Here is a 27,283-nt window from a genome sequence, read left to right as displayed (position 1 = left end):
GTGTCAAGGTGGCTAAACTACGGTGCAGTTATTTGGTCAAACACCAGTCTAGATATTGCTGTGAATGTACTTTTTAGATATGATTAACACTTAAATCGGTAAACTTTGAGTAAAGAGGAGCACCTTCCATAATGTACGTGGGCTTCATCCGAATAGTTGAAGACCAAAAGACTTAGATCTCACACAAAAAAGGTATTCTGTCTCCAAACTGCATTTTGACTTGAAATACCAACTCTTCTTTGAAGTCTCCAGCCTGTCAGGCTGCCCTACAGATTCCGATTCTGCCAGCCCACAATCACATGAGCCAATTCCTTAGAATCAATCAATCTCCTTTTTTTTTCTCTCTATAGATAAATAAACATCCTATATACACATCTATATATAGGTATATAGATAAACATCCTATTGGTTGTGTTTCTCTGGAGAACTCTAATATATACCCTCACCATCACTCCACAGTGGATCCATAAAATAAGATGAAGTGGGTTTTTTTTTTTTTTTTTTTGAGACAGGGTCTCACTCTGTCGCCCAGGCTGGAGTGCAGTGGTGCAATCTTGGCTCACTGCAACCTCTGCCTCCCAGTTTCAAGCGATTCTCCTGCCTCAGCCTCCTGAGTAGCTGCAATTATAAGTGCATACCACCATGCCTGGCTAATTTTTGTATTTTTTTTAATTTATTTATACATTTTTGTATTTTTAGTAGAAACGGGGTTTCACCATGTTGGTCAGGCTGGTCTCAAATTCCTGACCTCCAGTGATCTGCCCACCTCAGCCTCCCAAAGTGCTGGGATTCCCAAAGTGGCGCAATCTTGGCTCACTGCAACCTCCACCTCCCTGGTTCAAGTGATTCTCCTGCCTCAGCCCCCCAAGTAGCTGGAATTACAAGAGCACAACACCACACCCAGCTAATTTTTGAATTTTTAGTAGAGACGGGGTTTCACCATGCTGGCCAGGCTGGTACCGAACTCCTGACCTCCAATGATCTGCCCGCCTCAGCCTCCCAAAGTGCTGGGATTACAGGCATGAGCCATCACGCCTGGCAGAGATTAAGTTTGTATTTCTCTGCTTGTCACCACATCACACAACAATGCTTTACAAATTTTCACTAAAACCGGAGGGGATGTTAGTCTTCTAGAGCTGCCATTACAAAATCCCACAGACTGGAGGCTGGAAATCCAAGATCAAAGTGTCACCCAGCAGGCTGATGTCTCCTGGGACCTCTTGCCTTGGCTTGCAGACAGCTGCTCACTGTGTCACCACATGGACTTTTCTCTGTGCATGTACATCCCTTGTGTGTGTCTCTTCATGAGTCCAAATTTTCTCCTTGTATAAGGATACTAGTCATACTAGATTAGGGCCCACCCTAAAGGCCTCATGTTAACTTTATGTCCAAATACAGTGACAGTCTGAGGAACTGGGGGTTTGGATTTCAACATATCACTTTGGGGGTGGGCGGGGCCACAACTCAGCTCATAACAAAGGGTCTATCTGAAAAGATCTACATATAGACTACATGGCATACATAAAACTCACTTTCAGGGCGAGACACCAAAAGAACAGCTCTCTTCTAGAGCAGTTAAAAGTGTCCAGCCAAGGCCAGGCACAGTGGCTCACGCCTGTAATAATCCCAGCACTCTGGGAGGCCGAGGTGGGTGGATTACCTGAGGTCAGGAGTTCAAGACCAGCCTGGCCAACATGGTGAAACCCTGGCTCTACTAAAACTACAAAACAGCTGGGCGTGGTGGCACGCACCTGTAAGCCCAGCTACTTGGGAGGCTGAGTCAGGAGAACCGCTTGAACCCAGGAAGCAGAGGCTGCAGTGAGCATAGATTCCATCACTGCATTCCAGCCTGGGTGACAGGGCAAGGCTCCACCTCAAAAAAAAAAGTGTCCGTTCAAGAAAAACACGAACTTATATTTAGAGACCAGTTGGCAGAGAAAATAAGAAATCATTTAAAATAAAAGCCCTAAGTCCAAGCCATAAAGGCAGACACGGAATTGCTGGCATTGATTTGCCACATGAACAATATCTTGTGTATTGCTCAATCTAGAAAGCAGCAGAGGTTTACTTTTTTGAGCCTGGCTAATGATTTTCCCTGCAATCTAGATGGTCATAATACATTTAGTTGCTACATCCCTCTTGAGCTCTGGACTAGGCATGATGTGAGATCCTTGTATTATTTTTAACATATGTACATATTTTACATATCTACATATTTATGTACATAAATATATGTACATATTTTATATGTATGTATACAATATACATACATACACATCTATATATATATATATATATATATATATATATATACACATCTACATCTACATACATACACACACATATCTATATAAACAACATAGTTTTGATCACAAGGCATTCAGAGTCCAGATACCAGAAGCAATATCTATGGACAACAACGGGAGGCCGAAGACCTTACAGAAGACAGGGAAGGAAAAAAAGGCAATGGGAAGAAAGAGACTTAAGAGAGGAGAAGGAAGAAGGGGAAATATAAGAAATAGGGGAAGAGAACCCATGTGGGAAGGCAGGTCTTTGTTCCTCCCCTCTCTGTGGGCTGTCATGGAGTCCCACCTCTGACTAATAATAGCAACAACAACAAAAATTACAGTGCACTCCTGTAATTCCAGCTACTCCGGAGGCTGAGCGCGGAGGATTACTTGAGCCCAGGAGTTTGTGGCCAGCCTGGGCAACATAGTGAGAACTAGCTCTAATAAGTAAAAAAAGTAAAAAATAAAAGCCAGAACTTTACATGTGAATAGCACATGCAGATTTCCAAAAACTTTTCACCTCTGTTATCCCTCACATACTCCAAACAGCCCAGTGAGACCTCATGAAAGCGCTATTACTTTTATTAGTCAAGTAGAAAAAAAAATCTGCCGGGCGCGGTGGCTCACGCCTGTAATCCCAGCACTTTGGGAGGCCGAGGTGGGCAGATCACAAAGTCAGGAGATCGAGACCACCCTGGCTAACACGGTGAAACCCCATCTCTACTAAAAATACAAAAAATTAGCTGGGCGTGGTGGCGGGCGCCTATAGTCCCAGCTACTCGGGAGGCTGAGGCAGGAGAATGGCATGAACCCGGGAGGTGGAGCTTCCAGTGAGCCGAGATTGCGCCACTGCACTCCAGCCTGGGCGACAGAGCGAGACTCCATCTCAAAAAAAAAAAAAAAAAAAAAAAAAAATCTGAGACAGGGTCATAGAATGACTTTCAGAGTCTGGAAGCGATTGAACATTTTATAGACTAACTTGACTCCATATAAATGATAAACAACCCATCATCCTCCCTTAAATTTTTGGTTTACACATAATCAAACTATATGATACATATACATTTTTAAAATTATGTGTCCATTCTTTTTCTGCGAAACTTCTTTTTGGTTTAACACTTTGTGAGCTAATCGTTTGTTTAGCTTTAAGTATATCTCACTTGCAAATAAGCTCTGAGAAGAAATAAATATTTACTGGGGAAAGTAACTGTCATAATATCATAAGGAAGAATTCTCATTCCTAACTAGAGGCCAATTCTTCTCCTTCTAAGGTAGCTTTCCAAACACTACAACTTTTTCTATAATTATTTAAATTTTTTTTTAAATCTTAGGAAGACAATGTAATTGGTGAACTTTTAGTAATGGAGACAAAGTGGGGTACAGGTAATATGGCTCTTGTCCAGAAATAAAATCAGGTTAGGGCTGATTTTAAGACTTTATTTTAAAGAGTTACCACAAAAAATATCTTTGAATTGGAAAGAAAGTCAGCCCTTGGCTTCGCTGGTGCGTCTTACACCTTGATATTACCACCTAGCATATAGCGCAGAGTTCAGTTACTGACATGCCATTGACCAGACATCTAAAAGCCAGCTTTTAGATGAAAACCCAGGCTCCAGTTCAAAGCTAGAAGGTGACACGTGCCCTGGGACAGAGTTCAGATACTATATTTCAGGTCTTTGTGTTAAGGTCTTAGCTTTTAGTCCAGCGTGCAACCACGGTAACTCAGGGAAGAGCAGTGCAAGGACATTCAAGGAGTCCCTTTCTATAAATTTACAAACTGCTCACATACCGTGGCAGAGATTTTCCACAAAGGGTGCGGTAAGATTTCTGTTCCCATATACTCTCCAGAACCACCTTGCATCAAGAGGCATAATCTATTTCTCCTCCCTTTGAATATGAGCGGGATGTTGTGACAATCTCAATGGATGGAAGGTGGCAGAAGCGATGCTGTATGATTTCCAAGGCTAGACCATGACAGGGGATGGATGAGGTTTCCGTTTAGCTCTCTCAGGATGTTTCCTTTTGGAACCCAGCCACCATGCTGTGAGAAAGCCAGGGCCAATGGGGCACCAGCGTTCTGGCCAAAAGCCTCAGTTAAGGTCTTAGGTGACAGCCAGCATTATCCGTCAGATGCTGAGGGAATGAGCCACCAGGTAATTAGCCCCCATCCTTTCAGTCTGCCCAGCTGAAGTTCCACAACACGGATCAGAGACGAGCTGTCCCTGTTGTACCCTGTCCAGAGAATTGGTGAGTGTAATAAAGATTTGTTTTACGCCACTAAAAGTAGTAGTCATTTGTCAAATAGCTCTACTAACTAGAACATACAGTACCGGCTAAATGAATGCTCAGAGGCAGAAAGAATTAACTTATTGATTTTCATCTTGTGCATTACTGGTCTTGAATCTGTCCTGGAGGTGGGGAGAGTAGGCAAGAAGTGGGGAAAAAATTTTAAGTGCCACCTTTCCTGCGCAGGCACTATTCATGGTACAACAAAACTTCAATTCCTCCAAAACCCCTAGGAGGTTAAGTCTTCATAGGAACTGATCTCCATTTTAAAGACGAGGAAGCTGGGGCACAGCAAGGTTTAGTAACTTACCCAAGATCATACAGGATGTGGTAGAGTTGAAATTTGATCCCCTCTCTGCCTGACCCAAAATTCACAATCTTTTGATTCTCCCAGTAGATCCCAACCTGGGGGCTTTGGCCCTGAACTGAGAACGGGGGAGGGCAGAGGAGGGTCCTCAGTTTGGTGGGGACGAGAAAAGATCCTGAATCCCTGAGCACCATTGTGTGTAATATGCTACATACACACAGTTTTCAAATATAGTAAGTTCCATGATAATTGTAATTCAAATCCACTTAATACATTTTGATCTCACCATTATGTGTCTTCTCAACCAACAGATAACAGAACAGCTAAAAGTTCTTAAAGATCTGTGAACTCTGTGTATGTTAGAACAGGTTTCTCATGTTTAAAAATGTTGAGAACCACTAACCACGTACCTTATGGTGTGTAAATTAACATTCATGCCTGATCAGTTGGACAACTGTGTTACCACAAGAAAACACAAGAGTTGTAAATCACCAAATTCATCTGCATTTATTTACTGAAGGTGGTTACCACGTGTTCTCTCTTAAATAATGGGCAGCCACAATTCACTAATTTGCTAGCTGTTGTTCCCATCGGGCACTGGCCAGCATTCCGTCCTGAGGAAATGATGATATACTGTGCCTTCCCATTTTCCACACCCTGCAGCCAGTGACAGTGATTGTGGTCAAAAGAGAATGAGCTTTTCTCCATCCTCTCCTTGCCTTGCCTCTGTCCTTTAGGATGTCCTACTGAGTAAACATTCTGCTTCCCTCTGAAAAAGAAGCTTAAGAGCAGGGTTGGAAGGATGTGGTGGTGACAGGCTTGGGAACAACTTCATTACCCATGAGGAATGTAGAGCAAGTTCACTGCCCTCCCTGAGAAACAGGAGCCGGATCTGTGCTCATGAGGAAAGAATGCCAGTACTTAAAGCCTTCTTCTGACAAAAGACCAACAACTTCAGCAGAGTTCTTTGCCCTCACATTCACAGGGGATGTGGAGCAAAAGACACAGAGCCACCCCTCAGCCAGCAAAAGACGGGCATGGGTGGGGTGACTGGGATTTGCACTCTCTTCCCACATCTGTCTTCTTCAGTTGCAGTAATCAGAATTCACATCCTTAAGGAGGCCTTGCTCAGGGACTACACGTCTTACCTTGTAACCATCCCTACCCCTGCTCTCTTGCTGTCCTTAAGCTCTTGAATCACTGCATTCCACAAGGATTCCCCCCCGCCCAAAATGGGCAAGTTAAAGGAGGGGAATTACAACATCCTAATGAAGTCGGTTAGGGTCAAACAACTAAGATATTCCGCCTCATAAAACTGCATTGTATTAAAATTGCATCCATATTTTTAAGCCTATATTTCTATATACCAAAACCCATGATTTCTACTTGTAAGCTGTTCAGCTCTGGTTAAATGAGGAAAGAAGAAATTAAGAAGTGTGCTTTTCAAAATCTTGATTCTTATTATCATTAACTTTAGCATGCCAACAATTCAAAGACTTTTTTGCGGTAACTCTTTAAAATAAATAGTCTTAAAATGAACCACAATTAGTCACAGTATAAGTCATAAATGAAAGAAATGCATGTGTTTTATCCTACTAAATGCACAACTAAAATCCATTACACACAAACACACACACATGCGCACATACACATACATAATGCTGAATATATAAACATACAAGTTAAGATTTATATACTGGCCACCAGCAGTGAGAGAACATTTCTCCTGACCATAATAAAGAAGCAGCATTTCACCTATTACAAAAAATACATTGTGAGGGGGATGAGGCTGCAGCCTGCAGGATCCTCCATCAATCTCCACTAAAATCTTGAAAATCTACCAACCACAGTGGAAGGCAGAAGAGGAAGAAAACTCTTCTCCATGGATTTCTGGCCTAACCAGGGTCTCTCCCTTTCCTCTCAAAGAAGAAAGACCTAGAAAGCAGGAGAAAAGAGTGAAAAGATAAGAAACGTGCGAGAGAAGACATTTTGAGAAATTAACCCAAAACTTGACCGGGCGCAGTGGCTCACACCTGTAATCCCAACACTTTGGGAGGCTGAGGTGGGTGAATCGCTTGAGGTCATAAGTTCAAGACCAACCTGACCAACATGGCGAAACCCTGTCTCTACTAAAAATACAAAAATTAACCAGGCATGGTGGCACGCACCTGTAGGCTCAGCTACTTGGGAGGCCGTGGCAGGAGAATCACTTGAACCCAGGAGGTGGAGGTTTCAGTGAGCCGAGATTGCACCACTGCACTCCAGCCTGGGCAACAAAAGCGAGACTCTGTCTCAATTAAAAAAAAAAAAAATTAACCCAAAACTTGTAATTAGCTACCCACATGACAAAAGCTACTGACCACTCCTGACTTTCCTCAGCATCTTTTCTGGATGGAGGCAGATCAGCTGACCCAGGAGGTACAGGGGAATAGCCCAAAGGGAACTGTCACAGCCAGGGAGCCTCAGCCTCACCTAGATTATCATGTACAAATTTCCACTCACCTCAAAAGATGTAGGCATGTAAATCCACCTATACTTGTCCTTTGAAATCTGTGCATTTTTTATAATACCGAATATTTGCCTATTTGCCTTGTCTTTTGCCACAAATAACTGCAGATGTATGTTATCAGGCATTTCCAATGTTAGAGTTCTTTACAGATTTCAAATTCCTAGAGGACAGGAAATATGGTTGTTTTTCTTGCACTGTACTGTAACTACCCACATATTGCATACAAATACATAAATTCCTGCCAGGAAATGCTTTTTCTTTTTTTAAAAAAGCCTCATTTCCTTTAAAGTGTCCAGTATTGTAAGAATTTTGGGAAGACTGATGATTACATCTTTATAACTGAGGTTAACTGTGATTCACTCATTCACTCATTCATTCGACAGTTTTACTGACCACCTCTTATGTGCCAGGCTGGAGAATGAGCAGTGAAATCCCCAGAGCCTAAGTCCTGATAGGGTACTGCTCTAGGGAGAAGACAGTTCACAAACAAATACATCATGAACAAACAGGTAACACATGAAGGGTGAGAAGTATTTAAAAAGTTAAAATGAAAGAATAGGAAGCCAGAAGAATGTGTGATTTTACTCGAGGGGTGGGAGGTGTCAGGAAAAGACTTTTTAGGTAGCAACTGTGCAGAGACCAGGCAAAGAGCCTTTTGGGGCAGGGAACACCAAGTCAAAGCGAGACAGGAATAATACAGAGTGGTTCAGGAGAACAGAAAATTCCAGGCAGGAGTTTCACATGACTAGTAAAAAGAAACTGTTGAAATTACCTGCAGAAGCTAGGGACTGATAAGACCCTGAAATACTGGGGCGTGGACCAAGCTGGCTAAGACCAACTGGACCCAAAATGATGCTGGATCTGACCTAGGTTCCTCTTAGAACCTCATTATGCACTCATTAGCATACTTAATCAACTCCCCCACGAGTGCCATGATAGTTTCAGGAACACCCACATTTGGTATAAAAACGGTGACACCACAGTTCCAAGAAATCTCCACCACCTTCCAGGAATTTTCATGAATATTCCCCACCTTGGTGAATGAAGCCCATAAAGGTAGCAGCCCCAAACCCCCTCACACGCACAACTCTCCTGAGTATGCCCACGCTCCCCTTGCCCCTTGAGGGTGTACTTTTCCCTTTGCAATAAATCTCCATACTTCTACAATTTTCTGACTCATGAATTCCTTCTTGGGATGGTGTCAAGCACCTGGACACCAGGTGAGGTTGAGATCCCACCAGCATTTGGACCTCCTCTAGCCCACCATATCAAAAGGCCCTGAAGCTGAGGTGGGCAGGTAGACCGAGGAACTGCAAGTGAGGTTCCCTTCCCTTGTCCACTTTGATGGCTAGAGTCATTGATCCTTCCAGCATAGCTGTTTTCAAGGTTGGGCTACTGCAATGCTAATCTTAATAGAATCAGCAGACCAACAAGTTCCTTAGCAGAGAGGTGGACAGAAACAGTAAATAAAAAACAGAATCCTGGGGCTAAAACTTTTTGACAATGCAACGAAGGTATTGGGAAACAGTATGCTTCATGTTAAATATTCCTGCTGATATTTTATTCCACAAAACAGGGTTAATTATTATTATATGCCATTGGATTTTAAAGCTGAAGAGTTCTTGCTTCCCTTCCTGTCCAATAATTACACTTAGATTTCTTACTTATATTGGCAAATGATCAAGATCATATGACATTGACTCCAGCAAGGAGTGAAACCACTCAGAAGAAATCAAATAGAAAATCAATCTGGCTTCTTTGCTGGAATGCCCACTAGAAGGCACATATACTTAGTTTTGCTTCCCTCCGTATCCCTGTCCCAGATAACCCAACGCCACCTTTATGTGGTTTCTTCTCTAAAAATTTGAAGTTATTTTGCACATCTCATCTGTGTTTAATGTGACTTTCAAAGGCTATTCTGAGAACAATGAGTTGAGGAACAGAAACCATCAAACAGAAGTCTAAAATGACATTAATGAACAGAAAAAAATTAGAAATATGGTAATAGAGCTTTTATAAGTTGACACTTAGAAATTTATGTGAAGAATGTAAACTCATTCTTCATGTAGAACAGTAGAACTGTACCTATTACTCAAAAGAAAATAAATTCAAAGGCCGGGCGAGGTGGCTCACGCCTGAAATCCCATCACTTTGGGAGGCCGAGGCGGGCAGATCATGAGGTCAGGAGTTCGAGACCAGCCTGGCCAATATGGTGAAACCCTGTCTCTACTAAAAATACAAAATTAGCCAGGCGTGGTGGCACATGCCTGTAATCCCAGCTACTCAGAGGCTGAGGCAGGAGAATCGTTTGAAACCGGGAGGCAGAGGTTGCAATGAGCCAAGATTGTGCCATTGCACTCCAGCCTGGGTGACAGAGCGAGACTCCATCTCAAAAAAAAGGAAAAGAAAAGAAATTCAAATACAGCAATAAAGACCAGGATAGTAGGACTGTCTCAGGAAATTACACCCATAGACAATGAAGCCATCTAAGAATTTCCCATTAAAAAGCTCCTCAGCCAAGTACGGCGGCTCACGCCTGTAATCCCAATACTTTGGGAGTCAAGAGGAAGGAAGGTCAATTGAGACCAAGAGTTCAAGACCAGCTTGAGTAACACAGTGAGACATTATCTTTATAAAACAATGTTTAAAATTTTTTTAAAAAAGAAACAGATCCTCAGTGAAGGATAAGGGTCTTCCTTTTTAAGTTTTGGGTTTGTTTTTTTTTCTAATAACTCCAGTATTAGAAAGTACTGTTGAGTCCAGAAGTTCAAGACCGGCTACTCAGGAGGCTGAAGTAGGAGGATAGCTTCAGCCCACAAAATGACCTCAATCCCATCTCTCTTGAAATTCTGCCTATCTTGTGAGATCCTCCCTTTAGTGAGTCTCTCCTTCCCCTCCGTAATCCCTCTCTTGGGTGTGACAATTGTCTTCTTTGAACCTCTTCACCACTGCCTGTGTTCTCTAATCCCACTCCATGTTATCCTTGGCCTCATCCTTATCCACCATCCTCACCAGCCCTACATCATAAGCTCTCAGAAGACAGGGACTGAATGAAGGTTGAAAAGTTACCTATTGGGTACAATGTTGGGTACAAGTGGCACTTAGATTCTATCCTAAATATTATTCTTCCACATGTAAATGTTTTGCGCCCCACCAACCCATAAAAAGTGTTTGTTTTCAGAATTCAAGGACAATGTGTCTCATTTTATGTATGCTCTGGAACCTTGCATCTAGTAGGTACTAAATATGTATTCTTACATCTTTACATAATTCTTCCTAAAGCTGCCTTTCTCCAAGGTTGTTCTATTCTTCAAGACACCCATATTTTTAATATTAAAAAATAATACCGCATGGCATATCCCCTTCCCCACAACCTTCCTTTTTCTTTGATACTCACAATGTACATTAATACGTTAAAGGCACTGAGAAGTCCTGTAATAAAGAGACCTGACATGACATTTCCCAAACCCGTTTGTCACAAACTTTTCTTGCTTATGACACCTGTTAATATCTAGCAGTTGTCACTTGGAAAAACTGTCGTAGTGTATCTGAACATCCTTATATATAACTCAGTGCTCAGTAAATAACATACATAAGGCATTTTATCATTTAAAAAGCACTTTCAACACATCATTACAACTGAATTCCCTCAATAAACAGACTTGAAAAGTAGGAAAGTATAACGAAAAGCAATCACTCTCTTGCTTTCCTCTAGTCCTATGCTGCTTCTCACCCAGCACTCCTTCCTTCCTTCATGCACGTGTCAACTGAAAGCTCCCTTTCATTGTCACCAGGAGACACTAAAGGTACAATGTGACTTGACCTGTTCCTCCCATTGAGACTTGTTCCAATCATCTTGGAACTCAGAGAGTTTTTAAATATAAACTCCAAATTGTTCCTTTTCCTCTTAAGGAAAGAAAGGCAAGTTTTAGGCTCAGGAAATGTACCTTGAAGACAGAATTTAGGTGATTTGATTAGTGATGTTTATAACTTAAACGAAACTCATAAAGTTCCAAATTTGGGGATATATCAATAAAGATTAGGTTCTACTGTATATAAAAGGAAACCCCATATAAAGTGGTTTTAACTAGAGATAAGTCTACACAAATAAAGAGAGGCTTAGAGGAGTCAGCCCAGAGCTGGCATGATAGCCCTAAGGAAATTTGAAATTGGGGCTCCCTCAATCTATAGGTTCCACTGACTTAACAAGATCACCCCAAGGTTCAAGACGGCAGCAAGCATGCTAACCATCAATTCCTCATCTCAGATAGAATAAAAAAAATAGAATAAAAGGAAAAAAAATAGAATAAGGAAAAGAGGCGGTGTAACTTTCAGCAGCATACAAGGATGCTTTGACAGGGCCTTCCACCTGTTTTACCTCAGTTCAGGCTGCTGTAACAGAATACTGCAGACTGGGTGGCTTAAACAATAGACATTTATTTCTGACACTTCTGGAGGCTGGGAAGTCCAAGATCACGTCAGAGTCGGTGTCTGGTGAAAGCCTGATTCCTGGTTCATAGACAGCTGTCTTCTTGCTGTGTCCTCATATGGCAGAAGGGATGAAGTAGCTCTCTGGGGCCTTTTTAATAAGGGCAATAATCTCATTCATGAGGGTTCCATCCCTGTTGTCAGGCCTCTGAGCCCAGGCCAAGCCATCGCATCCCCTGTGACTTGCACATATACATCCAGATGGCCTGAAGTAACTGAAGATCCACAAAAGAAGTAAAAATAACCTTAACTGATGACATTCCACCATTGTGATTTGTTTCTGCCCCACCCTCACTGATCAATGTACTTTGTAATCTCTGCCACCCTTAAGAATGTTCTTTATAATTTCCCCCACCCTTAAGAAGGTTCTCTGTAATTCTCCCCACCCTTGAGAATGTACTTTGTGAGATCCACCCCCTGCCGGCAAAACATTGCTCTTAACTTCACTGCCTATCCCAAAACCTATAAGAACTAATGAAAATCCACCACCCTTTGCTGAGTCTCTTTTCGGACTCAACCCGCCTGCACCCAGGTGAAATAAATAGCCATGTTGCTCACATAAAGCCTGTTTGGTTGTCTCTTCACACGGACGCGCATGAAACCTATGACCTAATCACTTCCCAAAGGCCTCATCTCTAAATACCAGTCACCTTGGGCATTAGGATTTCAACAGAGTAATTTTGAGGGGACACAAACATTCAGTCCATAGCACCCCCCATCACTTCTCTTTGACCAGGTCAAACCTAGTCAGTCAAACGTAGTTCAAAGAAGGCTAGGAAACTCTTTTAACTGAATTCACTGCATCCCAAATAAAAGATAAGGTTCTTTTACTAAGAAAGGAGAGGAAAGATATTGAATAGTCTACTAGAAATCTCTTCTGCTGGAAGAACACATGTCAGAAACTTTACAGTCTTGGCATGCTGAGCAGAAGTCACTTAGTCCAATGTTTCTGAAGCTCACTCATTGATAAGAATCACCTGCAAGAGCTGGGTGGTGGAGGGATGGTGCAGGGAGATCCTCACTGAAATGCAGCTCCCTGGTTCTACCCAGACCTACTGAACCAGAATCTTCAAGGAGAGGACCTGGGAATCCCTGTTCTTAACAAGCAACTTATGTGATTCTCATCATCAACAAAGTTTGGAAACACTAAAATCTAATCTTCCACCCACTTAGTGGCCCCTCAGCAAATGCCTGAGGCTAAGGGCCCTAGAGTCAGTCCAATCCAGCCTTGAGAAGCAAGAGGCATGCAAGTTCTTTCACATACTGAGGTAATATCTGACAGAGAGCCTATGCCATGGGAAGGGAACAAGCCAGTCTCACTACAAGAAATTACTGTTCTTATAAAGGGGAACATTTAGACACCAAGACGGATACATACAGAGGGAGAAGATGACCATGTAAGGACAGAGGACTAGAATAATGCACCTACAAGCCAAGGAATTCCAACAACTGCCAGCAAAACCAGAAGCTAGGAATAAGCAAGGAAGGACTCTTCCTTACAGAGACTTCAGAGGCAGGATGGCCCTGCTACACAGACTTCTCGCCTCCAGACCCAAGAAGGTATACTTCAGTTGTTCTAAGCCGCCCATCTGTGGCACTTTATTCCAGCAGCCCTAACAAATGAATACAATTGGTTAGTGAGGAAAGCGGAGGATGTATTTCCTTACCAAGGTCAAATTCCATGTTCATGGACTAATACCTAAACTATTTCCACGCACAACTCAGTCTGAATGCAGAACAAAGGAACTGCAAAAGGCCACTTGGAAACAATCTGGCCTTAAATCACATTTGCTTTTCTTCGGGATGGTTTGAAAACAAGTTTTTCCACACATTATCTCTGGGGGAATGAGGAGTGGTTAATTCATTCTTATGCCTCTGAGATCAAAACAAAATATCTACACGGCTTCCCTCCTAGATGATTGCTTATTATCCTAGATCAGTGCTTCTAAACATTTTCTGCTCAGGAAAATCTTCCAAAGAGCCTAAGTAATACCCAACCCAGCTCCTCTCCAGAAAATTGTATTCAGTTGTATGGGAGTTGGGTGAAGAACAGGAATAACTTTTGTTTTTAAGCTCCCCAGGTAATGTTAATGTGCAGTGGGGTTAAGAACTGTCTGAGATTATATGAATGAAGATTTGTTTTTTTCCAAATGTCAACAGAGAGGGGCAGACCCTCCAAAATTCCAATACTAGGAAAACCCATCTTGTGCAGAATTGACACAAAGTAGCTACAGACTTTTGAAAGTTTACTTTAAAAACTGATTTTCTTTTTTTTAATTGGAGACCAGTCTTGCTCTGTGGCCCAGGCTGGAGTGCAGTGGCATGATCTCAGCTCACTGCAACCTCCGTCGTCCAGGTTCAAGCGATTCTCCTGCCTCAGCCTCCCAAGTAGCTGGGACTATAGGCACATGCCACCATGCCCAGCTAATTTTTTTATTTTTAGTAGAGACGGGGTTTCGCCAAGTTGGCCAGACTGGTCTCAAACTCCTGGCCTCAGGTGATCTGCCCACCTTGGCCTCCCAAATTGCTGGGATTACAGGCAAGCCTGGCATTAGAAACTGAATTTCTGAATGAATTTTTTTTTTTTTTTTTTTTTTGAGATAGGGTCTCACTTTGTTGCCTAGGCTGGAGAGCAGAAGCATGATCATAGCTTACTGTAACCTCAAATTCCTGGGCTCAAGCATTCCTCCCGCCTAGCTAGCACAATAGGCATGTACCACCATGCCCAGTTATCTTCTAAAGTTTTTATAGAGATAGGGTCTTGCTATGTTGCCCAGACTGGTTTCAAACTCCTGGCCTCAAACGATCCTCCCACTTTAGCCTCCCAAAGATATGGGATTACAGGCATCAGCCACCATGGCTGCCCAGTTCTATCATTATTAGATTGGCAATGTTTTAACTAATGGCTCCAGGCAGGCTCTCAGGCAACTTATTTTATCTGTGGCATAATGGTCTTTTATAATCAATTACCCCCATGGTTTTAAATTTTATCACGGTTTTTTAACTACTGACATTTTATTTTCACTGTTATAACTTGGCAAAACATCCAAATATATAAATGCAAAGATACCCACAACCTATGGAATATGTTTTAAATAAATTTAAGCTAAAAATTTTTTTTTGTTGTTTTCACAAAAGACGCAGGCTAATTAGTTGACAATTTTTTAACTGCTGACATGATTATACTGTCAGAACTCTGCAGACTTCTTAAAAATATGTTCCTTTGGCCAGGTGCGGTGGCTCACGCCTGTAATCCCAGCACTTTGGGAGGCTGGGGCGGGCGGATCACCTGAGATCGGGAGTTTGAGACCAGCCTGACCAACGTGGAGAAACCCTGTCTCTACTAAAAATAGAAAATTAGCCGGGCGAGGTGGCGCATGCCTGTAATCCCAGCTACTCGGGAGGCTACGGCAGGAGAATCGCTTGAACGCGGGAGGCAGAGGTTGCAGTGAGCCGAGATCGCGCCATTGCACCCCAGCCTGGGCAACAAGAGTGAAACTCGGTCTCAAAAAAAAAAAACAAAAACCCAAAGTTCCCTTATACTTAGGTTTTATTATTTCAAATGTGGTTCTAAAGAGTATATTAAATTATATCTTTATATTTAGATAACACTCAGGAGCAGCTTAGCTTTCATACGATCTAGTTTCTTGACATGATAACCTTTCCTTACTCCACTTTAGAAACAAAGCAAACTCATAAATACAGTAGACACATAAAGACATAGACTTTCACTTCCTTCCTTTCTTTCTCTTTTCCCGCCCCTGTATCAACATTCCCTCTCTTTCTTCTTCTGCCATTTTTTCAAAGCTTTGATTTTCCCCTTGGAGAGAGGGTCAGAGGCTTGAGGATTTCCTGTCTACAGCTCTGCCATGTGCTTAAGGAAATGTGAAAAAATAACTGTCTATTTCAAGGAAAGGTTATTATAATCATAACTTACAGTAGGACCAGATTCCCTGTTGTTTGTTCTCAATTAGTAGAGATTACAAGAAATGTCATAGAAGAGTAGAAGATGATAAATTTTGACGAGGTACTGGGGAGACTTGAATACACTTCAATTAAGATGTGTGGTTTTTTTCCCCCAGATGCCTGGGGGACTTTGCACAACTCCAGTAAAAATAAATGAACTGCTTTTGTACTCTCTTACAGAAGCAATTATCAGTGGACACAAAGATGGATGAGGAGCAGAGGGACTTGGAAAGAGACCTGAACAGGAAATACAGAATTTTAAAGCTTAATGAGACTTTTGAGAGCATTTTTTTTGAGACGGAGTCTCGCTCTGTCGCCAGGCTGGAGTGCAGTAGCGTGATCTTGGCTCACTGCAACCTCCCGCCTCCCAGGTTCAAGAGATTCTCCTGCCTCAGCCTCCCAAATAGCTGGGACTACAGGCACCTGACACCACGTCGGGCTAATTTCTGTATTTTTAGTAGAGATGTGGTTTTACCATGTTGGCCAGGCTAGTCTCGAACTCCTGACCTCAGGTGATCTGCCTGCCTTGGTATCCCAAAGTGCTGGGATTACAGGCGTGAGCCACCGTGCCCAGCCAAGAGCATCTTATTTCACCCATGTGGAAACCCAGGGAGGCTAACTGACTTGCAGGAGTCACACACAAGTAATTGGCAGAACCAAGATCAGTAAATATAGCCTGCGGTTCTGTCCACAACATCATGTGCCAAGTTTTGATGCTATCTGAAAGTAACAGTAAAATGTTGAGCTGACGTCTTTGCCTCTCTGGCTTCATGTTTTACATATTTATCATCTCTCAATATGCTGCAATTTGATGCGGGGTAGGGCAAGAGCTGCAAGTTTTGATGGTCTTGACTCAGTTATTGCCTCTTGTTAAGGAAGATGAAAAACTTTTCTGGGGTAGAAAAGGGCTATTTTTCATGAAATGCCATCCATCATACAAAGTTCAAGGTCAAGGAGTCACATGAGGCATATACAAAAAGGGCACAAGTATTATTTCTGTGCCCTTAAAATGGTCCAGATAACTTGGTGTTTCAAGCAGAGAAAACCCCTCCTGCAGTAATAGGAGGCAGCAACAAAGAATAAACTATACAGATCAGGAATAAAAAGCCTGCAATCTCCTGTGATACAGTATAATCACACAATAGGCCCAACATCAATGTAATAAAGTTCCGAAATAAAACATTTCTTCCATTAAGTCCCAAACTCCGGGTTCGAGTATCATTTTCAAATGTTAACATGAATGTCTAAGTATCAGCCTAAAATTCATTAGTCAGCCTGAGATATTTTGAGCAAGAACCCTCAAAATATGGGAAAAACCATATAAAAGCAGAAAATAATCCTTAAGTGACATTCTATTTATATTTACCTTTTAAGAAATCTTCATTGTCCTCAGTTTAATGAGTAAGTTTTAAAAATAAAATGATACACATATTCCATGAGTCACACAAAGCCAAGGCTGCTAAAGTGGGTGATTAAACATTTTAAGGAAAACTGAATTATATGAAGGTTAAGTCCCTTTTAAAAAGTATATTAGGAGGCATTACGAAAATAAGAAAGTGGTTATAAATCTGAGTTCCAAGAATGGTAACTCCCTTCTATGGACAGAGAATAACACTAGGGCAGAACAATTACATTCCTATGCCAGGAAAACCTTCACAGAAAAAAAACACAGAAAGTCCAAAATCACAGCATTTAAAAATGCATTTCATTGAGATGCTCCATACGGAAAATCAGTGATGTTAAATCAGCAGCTTCAGAGGACAGAGAGCAAATACAGGGGATGTTTGCATAAACCTAAAGAAAAACAGAAAGTGGGCTGGGCGTGGTGGCGCATGCCTGTAATCCCAGCACTTTGGGAGGCCAAGGTGGGCAGATCATCTGAGGTCAGGAGTTCGAGACCAGCCTGACCAACATGGAGAAACCCCATCTCTACTAAAAATACAAAATTAGTCGGATGTGGTGGTGCATGTCTGTAATCCCAGCTACTCAGGAGGCTGAGGCAGGAGAATCATTTGAACCCAGGAGGCGGAGGTTGCAGTGAGCTGAGATCGCACCATTGCACTCCAGCCTGGGCAACAAGAGTGAAACTCTGTCACAAAAAAAATAAAAAGAAAAAAGGAAACTGGTTACACATCTGTCCACAAAGGCAAATGCAGGGGGGCTGGTGACTCCTGGGTATAAAGGCTCACATCTGTTTATGTTAATTAAGAGAGCAGTATGTAACCAGTATCATTCCACTTCAGTTTTCTTTTAGGATCTAACATAGTGCTATCCAAGAGATATATAATATAATGCCACATGTTATATTTCCTGATAGCCTCATTTTATAAAGTACAAATAAGCTGGTGAAATTAATTTTAATAATATATTTTTAAAATAACAATATAGGCAAAATATGATGATTTCAGCATGAAATCACCATGAAAACTCTTATTGGGATATTTTACTTTTTTTCATACTAGGTTTTAAAAATCCTGTAAACTTACTGTACATCTCAATTCCCATGCTACATTTTTATTGCAAATACTTGACATCTATTTAGATTTCAGGAGATTTAGAGTTGAAAAAACAAATTCACATACCCAAGTTGTTCCAAACTTAAGCATTTTCCAATATTTGCATTGAGTATCTGTTTTTAAATTTAAATTTATGAAAATAAATAAAATTAGCCAGGCATGGTGGCATGTGTCCATAGTCCGAAGCTACTCAGGAGGTGAGGTGGGAGCATTGCTTGGGCCCAGGAGTTCGAGTCCAGCCTGGGCAACAAAGGGAGACCCTGTCTCTAAAAGAAAGAAATAAAGAAAAATTCAGTTCCTTAGTAGCTCTAGCCATATTTTACATGCTAGACAGACACATGTAGCTAGTGACTAGAAGAGTGGATAGCACAAAGCTAACATCTTTGTCCCATCCTCACAGAAAGAGTATTTCTTTTTCCAACTTCCTACGGAATGTAAGTGTGGCAAGAAAACTGAAGTCATCCTATAAGGAAATAAAGGTAACAATTTCTTCATCATTTAAACCTTCATGAGATTCTGCTTATCGAATGGAGAAATGGAAGAAATAATGATTTTTTAAAAAGATTTGATAGATAGGAGTATATAACTGGGAACAGAATTAGAGAGTATCTGGAAAAGGGGAAGTGAATAATATCTTTTGCATTTCTATCTTATTTAATCCTCACAATATCCCTAAGAGGGATGTACTCTTCTAAAATTTATATTTTGCTGATAAGGAAACAGAACGTCAGCGGGTTTAAAGATAGTTAAGTAGGGTATACAGAATTTGAGGTTAACTAATCAACCAAACTAACTCTTAGTGATAATAATTGTGGACCTGTGCAGAAAACACTGTCCAGCTATTCAGTCAAGTAATTAAGGATACTGACTATCTGGAGGAGTTTAGGAAAGACAAACAGGACAAAGTACCCGGACGGAAGTGTTCATCTCTACAGCCATCCATTTAAACCTCTTTCTATTCAAAGTGCCATAATCTGTAAATTATTTGCTTGCCATGGTGAGTTAACATTCTCTCTCATTGGACACAGAGCCTCTGGATGCAGAAGCTAGTAACCAGTAGTTTAAGAAGCTTTCCTGGTATTGTAATGAGGGCTGGCAACGACTGAGCCGGATTAGACCTCAAACTTCAATTTGCATCAGAATCCCCTAAGGTGGGAAGGTGCTTTTGAAACACAGATCACTGGGCCGCACTTCCAGAATTTCAGATTAGGTAGCTCTGGGGTGGAGCCCCACAATGTTCATTTCTAACAATTCCTCAAGTATGCTGATACTGATGGTCCAGGCATCACACTCGGAGAACACTGAACTACAACAAAGATGGATGTACTCAATTGAGGTAAATAAAAGAACCATCACATTAAAGGAGCTTGTTCTTTAGGGCAATTTACGAGGCTTGTATCTTTATCAGCTGAGTGCCTACAAGGTAACTGCTAGAATCTGAAGCAGTGTGCTGGATGCCCCCGAAATGCAGACCTACAGCCCAGGAGAAAATTTCCCATAAAGCAACTAAAGCTTAAACCTCAGGGCCCCTTGCAAGGCCTACCAATATGCTCACATAGTATATTCTTTCTGTTGTTGTTGTTGTAAAATTTGCAAAAGTAAGATGTTTTTAAAGAAGGATTCCCATAGATTTTTATATAAACCTCAGGCTCCACAAAACTTGGATCTGTCTTTGGAGACTTCTCACCCTTGTTTATATCTTCCAAGTTGTTTTTTAAGAAATAGAAACACATTGAAAGCATTTTAAGCATCACAAGCATGTCTAGAACTTGCTTTTGTCTCTTAGTAATAATACATAAAACAGCTTTCTTTAATGAATTTCTGCAACATTTTAAATGGTTGTGGAATACATACCCAAAATATACTCAACAAATTTTTACTTAAGTGGTTTCTAATTTTTAGGTCTTTTTTATGCTGAATATCCTTAAAGCTAAATATTTATGCCCATCCTTATTTCCCTAGTATTTCTAAGAAGAGGTGTTGATGTATACCATATGCATTTTTTATATGTTGTAATTATAATGTAATGTACAATTTTGTAACTTGAATTTCTCTCCACTTATTTTATTATACGCATTTTCCCAGTTGCTGCATAGTTTTAAGCTTAACATTTTTAATGACTCTAAAACTTTCCTCTCTGTGGATATAACAATTTGTTTACTCCCAACATCTGGGTTACACTTTGTTTCTCATTAATATAAATAATACTACAATAAATTCCTTTTTAAAGATTATTTATGGCTGGGCATGGTGGCTCACGCCTATAATCCCACCACTTTGGGAGGCCGAGGCAGGCGGACCACCTGAGGTCAGGAGTTCGAGACAAGCCTGACCAATATGGAGAAACCCCGTCTCTACTGAAAATATAGAATTAGCCAGGCATGGTGGCGCATGCCTGTAATCCCAGCTACTTGGGAGGCTGAGGCAGGAGAATTGCTTGAACCCGGGAGGTGAAGGTTATGGTGAGCCAAGATTATGCCATTGCACTCCAGCCTGGCAACAAGAGTAAAACTCCATCTCAAAAAAACAAAAAGACTATTTACTTGCCATAGCTTTCCTTAAGTGTGTCCAAAATTATAACAGTGGCCAACCCGAGCATTGTTTATAAAGCACAGGTTTGTAGTAGAGAAGTGAGATGCTAATGTGAACGGGGTCCATAATGGGCTTGATTAAGGTAACAGAGCCTGGGATACTGAACATTCACTGCTTTTAACCTGATTAAATATTTGAGACCTGTTTCTTCCCCCGCTCACTTGCCCCCCGCCTGAGACAGGGTCTTGCTTGATCGCCCAGGCTGGCGTGAGGGGCTCGTTCTAGGTTCACTGCAACCTCCACCTCCCAGGTTCAAGCGATTCTCTTGCTTCAACCTCCTGAATAGATGGGAATACAAGCGCATACCACACCAGCCTAATTTTTCATATTTTTAGTAGAGACGGGGTTTCACTGTGTTGGCCAAGCTGGAATTGAGACTTGTTTCTGTCTTGAGAGTTGGTTGACCATTCTGGAGAATTTCTTCCCTAGCTAGGAGGAGGTTGTCTAGAGTCTTTCTGACAAACTATGGATAAATGACTCACAAATGTGTAAGAACTGAATAATGAAATCATAGTGTTGACGAAAAGAGTTGAACTCTTGGGCGGGCGTGGTGGTTCAGGCCTGTAATCCCAGCAGTTTGGGAGGCCAAGGCCGGTGAATCACTTGAGGCCAGGAGATCAAGACCAGCCTGGGCAACATGGTGAAACCCTGTCTCTACTAAAAATACAAAAAATTAGCCGGGCGTGGTAGCAGGCACCTGTAATCCCAGCTACTTGGGAGGCTGAGGCAGGATAAATCAGTTGAACTCGGCAGGTGGAGACTGCAGTGAGCCAAGATCATGCCATTGCACTCCATGCTGGGCAACAAGAGCAAAACTCTGTCTCAAAAAAAAAAAAAAGGGAGAGTCAAATTCTGTAAAATGTTTGAAGAGATTTATTCTGAGCCAAATATGAGTGACCATGACCTGTGCACAGCCCTCAGGAGGTCCTGAGAACATATGCCCAGGGTGGTCAGGGCACAGCTTGGTTTTATACATTTTAGAGAGGCATGAGACATCAATCAAATACATTTAAGAAATACATCAGTTTGACAACTGTAAGGCGGGCGGGGGAGCAGCCTTCCAGGCTGTAGGTGAATTTAAACATTTTCTGGTTGACAATTGGTTGAGTTTGTCTAAAGACTTGGGATTGGTAGAAAGGGAACATTCAGGTTAAGATAAAGATTGTGGAGACCAAAGTTCTTTTGAAGTCTTACAGTGGCTGTCCTTAGAGGGAACAGATGACACATGTTTCCTATTCAGATCTTAATCTCTTTAGAATTTGGGAGGGTCTGGAAGAAAAAGATGTAACTATGTTAACAGAGATTCTTTACAGATGCACATTTTCCCCCCACAAAGAAGGAGCTTTGCAGGGCCATTTCAAAATATGGCAAATAAACATATTTTAGGGTAAAATATTTTAATTTTCTTCCTTGTCTCGTAATGTTATGCCAGAGTCAGGTTGGAAAATAAGTCATGATATATAGGGTTAAATAAAACCCATCTGATGGGAATTCATGGTTTGTAGGGCATGACTCCCCAGACCCCCTACATAGGAATTTGTGCAAGATAAAAAAATCAGAGTTTCGTCCTCAATAGTGTCCTTTACATGAGGTTGACATAGCTGCCCCATCAAAACCAGGACCGAAGGACTGTCTTTTCTTATGTTTCTGGTAAGGAGTTGCAATGCTCTTAAGAAGTCAGTCTCTTTTTTGACCACAGACACAGATGCCAGTCAGTTAAATTGGGTCTAAATTTAGGTAATTTTCTGCCCAAGGAACACAGGCTAGTTAATTAGCCTACACAAGGTCTAAATTCATAACTGTGGCTCTTTAGTGTGGTTCTTCAACCACTTGAGCTAATGAGCTATAGATACAAAATAATTTCACAGTCTGGGTACAAAATAAGCACACAGGTAGATTGTAGGTAACAAGCCAAGGCCTCCAATGATACTTGTTAATTTCACACAGCACAGACATGGCCAAGAGGGCATGCAGAGCATCCTAAAGGAAACACATCCAGAAAACCCTACTGACCTTTTATTTCTGTCCATTACATGGATAAAGTGGTAAATGCTGAACAGAGAGGGGCCACAGGGTGTTGACGATAAACTGTCAGTATTTCCATTTTACATTTAGTCACTCATTCATTCAACACAATGACTAGTGTAGGAACTGGGCTGGAACTGCAGGGAGAGCAAGGACAAGTATCCCACATGTCCTACTGTGTCCAAGACTGCCACTTGCCACCTAAAGCCACTTGTTCACCATGGGGAAAGGGCTTAGGTGGATTTTCCAAATGCACCTAAAAAGGCAAGAGTCTACAGCAATAGACTCCAATGACTGCTGGACTTAACTCACTGAACACTGACCAGAGCTTACAAAACAGTCCGCCCTCCAGTTATTCACCAGGCACCTACAACTCCCAAAGACCTGAACCCAGCATCAGAAACCACCACCCAGGGGAAAACTGTGCACCAAACCTTCACAAGCACAGCCAACCTAGGCTAAATCATACCCTTTGTTATTTTAAAACAAAAAATGTACTTTTTGTTATTTTAAAACATACCTACCTGAAGTCTCAGTTCCCAATTTGCGCTTTGGGCCTCTTCTCCAGGCCCCACCCAGCTCAAAACAAGTCTGACCGCTTTGATTTCCATATTCTCCGCCCCTCTCCCCACCCTCCTTATCTCTAGCACCAGAAGCTTTCAGAAAGCTAATCCAGTACCTGGCTCCTAGGCGTCCCTGTCACTGAAGCATGTTTTGGTCAAAGATTACCCATGATTACTATCTGTCAGTTTCCACTGGAAATTGGAATGAGGAATTTGAAATTCAAGTCCAGGCCTTTACTTGGCCGGCTGGAATCATCATATTTTGTTCTCCTGACAGCAAACACCCGTGTGCACCAGCAGTGGCAGGACACTGGCTCCGCACCCAGAGTTCCCAGGTGCAAGTTCTGCACCCTACTTTAGCTTTGTGATTTGGACAAGAGTTATGGCTGAATCGTGTTTCCCCCAAAATCCATATGTTGAAGCCCTAACCCCCAATGTCTCAGAATGTAACCTTGTTTAGAAATAGGGGGACTGCAGCTGTAATTAGTTAAGAATAAGGTGGGCCCCTACTCCCATACAACTGAGGTCCTTATTAAAGGGGAAATTTGGTAACAAACATGCAAACAGGGAAAACGCTATACAAAGATGAGGCAGAGATCAGGATGATGCTCCTATAAGCCAAGAAACACCAAAGATTGCCAGCAAACCACCAGAAGCTGGGGAGAGACACGGCTGATTCTTCCTCACAGCCCCAGAAGGAGCTGAGGCTGCTGACCTCTGGTTTAAGCCACTCCCTTTAGGGTACTTTGTTACAGCCACTTTTGGAAACCAACATAGCAAGATACCATGTTGCAGTTTTCTCATCTGTAAACTGGGAATACATACAGCACTTCTCTAATGAGAGGTATAAATAAATCACAGTTTGTTAAGTTGCTTAGAATGATGCCTAGTAGCTAAGTGTATTTTAGTGGTAAATAGTTGTACCCAAACATTCTTGTTTAATCAAAGAGATCTCACCTTTCATGTTTTCTAGTGTGTCTTCCCACCAAGTTGCCTAATGAAATGCTAAGGCCACGCCAGATTTCTCAGGAGATGAGGGGCACTCACACTTGGCTGGCACGGCAGGACAGGGTGTGGCAGTGCAAGGGAGAGACTTTCCTTGGTGTATCAGCAGGGAATCTAGGCTCCCTCCCTGCTTGCTCTTCATCCCCACGCACACTCAAATCCCGTCGTTCTTGCCCCACAGCAGCCACCAGCCTAGCCCTGGCCCTAGTCCTGGCCCCCTTTTCTGGTTACGGTCTCTCAAAACCCCAAATCATCCTACAGTGAAAATGTAATCAACTTGAAACCTCATTCTTCTATTTCACCCACCCCACCCATTCCAGGCTTTCAATGACGTATAGAGAGGCCCATACCTCCCATCACACTTGATTTTCTGTTATTTGCCCATGTATATATCCTTCTCCATTAGAGTCTCTTCACCCCACCTCTACTCATTAGTACTGGTTTCCTCTGTTAATCCCAACCTACCCAATCGTGATGGCTCAGCCCCTAACTCACCTTCTATGAAGTCTTCTCTAAACTCCTGCGATGTTGAATGGCCACACACCAGAGTCACTGTGAATGGCACAAACCTGGCACTGCCTTAATTGTTTCATGTGTGTCAGTCATAAGACCTTAACTAGATGGGACGTTTTGAGACCATTCATCCATCACACACACAATTTTAGGTACTACAAATGCCAGGCACTGTGCTAGGCACCAGGGGTAACCAATATCAGCAGCTGCCATTTATTGAGAAGTTTCTTTGTGCCAGATTTTATCCTAATCCTCATGATGATGCTTTAAAGGGAAGTGCTGGCCTCAGCCTCAGTTTACAGGTGAGAAAACTAAAGGGAGGGGAGGAGATGGAGGGGAAGGGAGAGAGGGAGGGGAAGGGAGGAGGGGAAGGGAGGAGGGGAGGGAGGAAGGGAGGCAGAGAGGGGAGGGGGGAGGGGAGGGGGAGGGGAGGGGGGAGAAAGGGAGGGAAGGGGAGGAGGGGAGGAGGAAAGGGAGGGAGAAAGGGGAGGGGTGGGGAAGGGAGGCTTTACAAGCAACACTGGGAGAAAAGAATCAGCAATAAACCCAATATGAACCAAAAGGACAATATGGCAACCAAAAATGTGAATAAGATCACAGGTTATATTAATAAAGTTACATGTCTAGGAAGTGGACATTCTACCATTTTTAATATTCTTTTAGATTTGTTCTAAAGTTTTGCTCAGAATTCTAGGCCTAAAATTTGAGAGTCAGATGTCATGTAGGTTCAGATTAAACTAATCAATATAATGAAGAATCCTCATATTGCACAATTTTATAAATTACATATTGACTGAATACACTGCTTTAAAGAGTAACTTAAAGCTAAGCTTATAACATAAACTTACAGGCTGACACCATTCCCAAACTTTTCAATGAAGCTGTGAGATCAGGTCATGATAGTCCCTATCTGTGTAAGCAACCTCAAGATTATGACGGTAAAATGGTGTACTTAAAAACAAACCCTTGTTCATCCCACACCTTATCAGATCAGGTCACCAATATATTACAGGACATAAAAGGAAAAGCCTGACTGGTTACCTAATGTCACCAGCTGTTAACATTCAAGAGCAGTTTCCATTTCTTTTTTTTTTTTTCTTTTTTTTTTTTGAGACAGAGTTTTACTCTTGTTGCCCAGGCTGGAGTGCAATGGCACGATCTTGGGTCACCACAACCTCTGCCTCCCGGGTTCAAGCAATTCTCCTGCCTCAGCCCCCTGAGTAGCTGGGATTACAGTTATGTACCACCACACCCAGCTAATTTTGTATTTTTAGTAGAGACAGGGTTTCTCCATGTTGGTCAGGCTGGTCTCGAACTCCCGACCTCAGGTGATCCACCCACCTCGGCCTCCCAAAGTGCTGGGATTACAGGCGTGAGCCACCGCACTTGGCCTTTTTATTATTATTATTATTTTTTGAGATGGAGTCTTACTCTGTCGGCCAGGCTAGAGTGCAGTGGCACAATCTCAGCTCACTGCAACCTCTGCCTCACAGGTTCAAGTGATTCTCCTGCCTCAGCCTCCTGAGTAGCTGGGACTACAGGTGCATGCCACCATGCCTGGCTAATTTTTGTATTTTTAGTAGAGATAGGGTTTCACCATGTTGGCCAAGCTGATCTCTAACTCCTGACCTCATGTGATCCACCTACCTTGGCCTCCCAAAGTGCTGGGATTGCAGGCGTGAGCCACAGCACCCAGCCAGCAGTTTCCATTTCTAACACTGAAAAGCATTTAACTTCACCTACAGCAGCATGCTGCAACAGACTTCTACCAATAGGACAATGGGTCCTGGGAAAGCAGCCATCAATAGTTAACTTCTGGCGTAAAAAGAGTCAAAACTGTAAAAGTCACTAAGGTTTAAGAACATTTGTGCACACCTTTATCATCCAAGTCTCAAACAAGACCTTCTGTGGAAACTGCCTGTGGCTGAGTCAATCATCCCCAGTATCCATTCTCCCCTTTCCCTTGAGGCTTAACTGGTTTCGAGGCTGCCAGCAAGAGAATATGTTTTCCTGCCTTCCTTGCAGCTAGGTTGGGGCAAGCTCTAACCAGTTCCCTGTGAGGGCAATGATTTGTGCACCTTCAGTTTCACATCCTTTAAAAAGTAAAATGCGGCCGGGCGTGGTGGCTCACGCCTGTAATCCCAGCACTTTGGGAGGCTGAGGCGGGTGGATCATGAGGTCAGGAGATCGAGACCATCCTGGCTAACACAGTGAAACCCTGTCTC

General features: G+C 42.2%; 1 protein-coding gene and 1 long non-coding RNA gene across 19 annotated transcripts in view, besides 4 other annotated features; both read right to left on the bottom strand.

The window, feature by feature from the left end:
* The window catches only part of RAI14 (retinoic acid induced 14), a 176,285-nt gene that overhangs the window by 109,008 nt on the left and 39,994 nt on the right, over positions 1 to 27,283 (bottom strand). The gene's annotated exons all lie outside the window — the stretch shown is intronic.
* Positions 1,209 to 1,709: an enhancer, noted in NCBI's record as "H3K27ac hESC enhancer chr5:34722001-34722501 (GRCh37/hg19 assembly coordinates)". NCBI's record gives its function as "activates a minimal SCP1, AML or CMV promoter by ChIP-STARR-seq in primed H9 embryonic stem cells {active_cell/tissue: H9 hESC(primed)}" and the evidence as "EXISTENCE:reporter gene assay evidence [ECO:0000049][PMID:30033119]".
* Positions 1,710 to 2,210: an enhancer, noted in NCBI's record as "H3K27ac hESC enhancer chr5:34721500-34722000 (GRCh37/hg19 assembly coordinates)". NCBI's record gives its function as "activates a minimal SCP1, AML or CMV promoter by ChIP-STARR-seq in primed H9 embryonic stem cells {active_cell/tissue: H9 hESC(primed)}" and the evidence as "EXISTENCE:reporter gene assay evidence [ECO:0000049][PMID:30033119]".
* On the bottom strand, positions 2,299 to 14,203 carry LOC124900960 (uncharacterized). The gene is made up of 3 exons (XR_007058730.1): positions 13,379 to 14,203; positions 7,384 to 12,093; positions 2,299 to 6,816 (listed from the first exon to the last, which is right to left on the bottom strand). It is a non-coding gene; the product is annotated as an uncharacterized LOC124900960 (long non-coding RNA).
* Positions 22,412 to 22,911: an enhancer, noted in NCBI's record as "H3K27ac hESC enhancer chr5:34700799-34701298 (GRCh37/hg19 assembly coordinates)". NCBI's record gives its function as "activates a minimal SCP1, AML or CMV promoter by ChIP-STARR-seq in naive H9 embryonic stem cells {active_cell/tissue: H9 hESC(naive)}" and the evidence as "EXISTENCE:reporter gene assay evidence [ECO:0000049][PMID:30033119]".
* Positions 22,912 to 23,413: an enhancer, noted in NCBI's record as "H3K27ac hESC enhancer chr5:34700297-34700798 (GRCh37/hg19 assembly coordinates)". NCBI's record gives its function as "activates a minimal SCP1, AML or CMV promoter by ChIP-STARR-seq in naive H9 embryonic stem cells {active_cell/tissue: H9 hESC(naive)}" and the evidence as "EXISTENCE:reporter gene assay evidence [ECO:0000049][PMID:30033119]".

Source organism: Homo sapiens, chromosome 5 (assembly GCF_000001405.40).
Source record: "Homo sapiens chromosome 5, GRCh38.p14 Primary Assembly".
In the NCBI taxonomy this organism is placed as follows: Eukaryota; Metazoa; Chordata; class Mammalia; order Primates; family Hominidae; genus Homo; species Homo sapiens.
The sequence above is the reverse complement of the archived record's forward strand: the minus strand, read 5'-3'. Positions and strand labels throughout refer to the sequence as shown.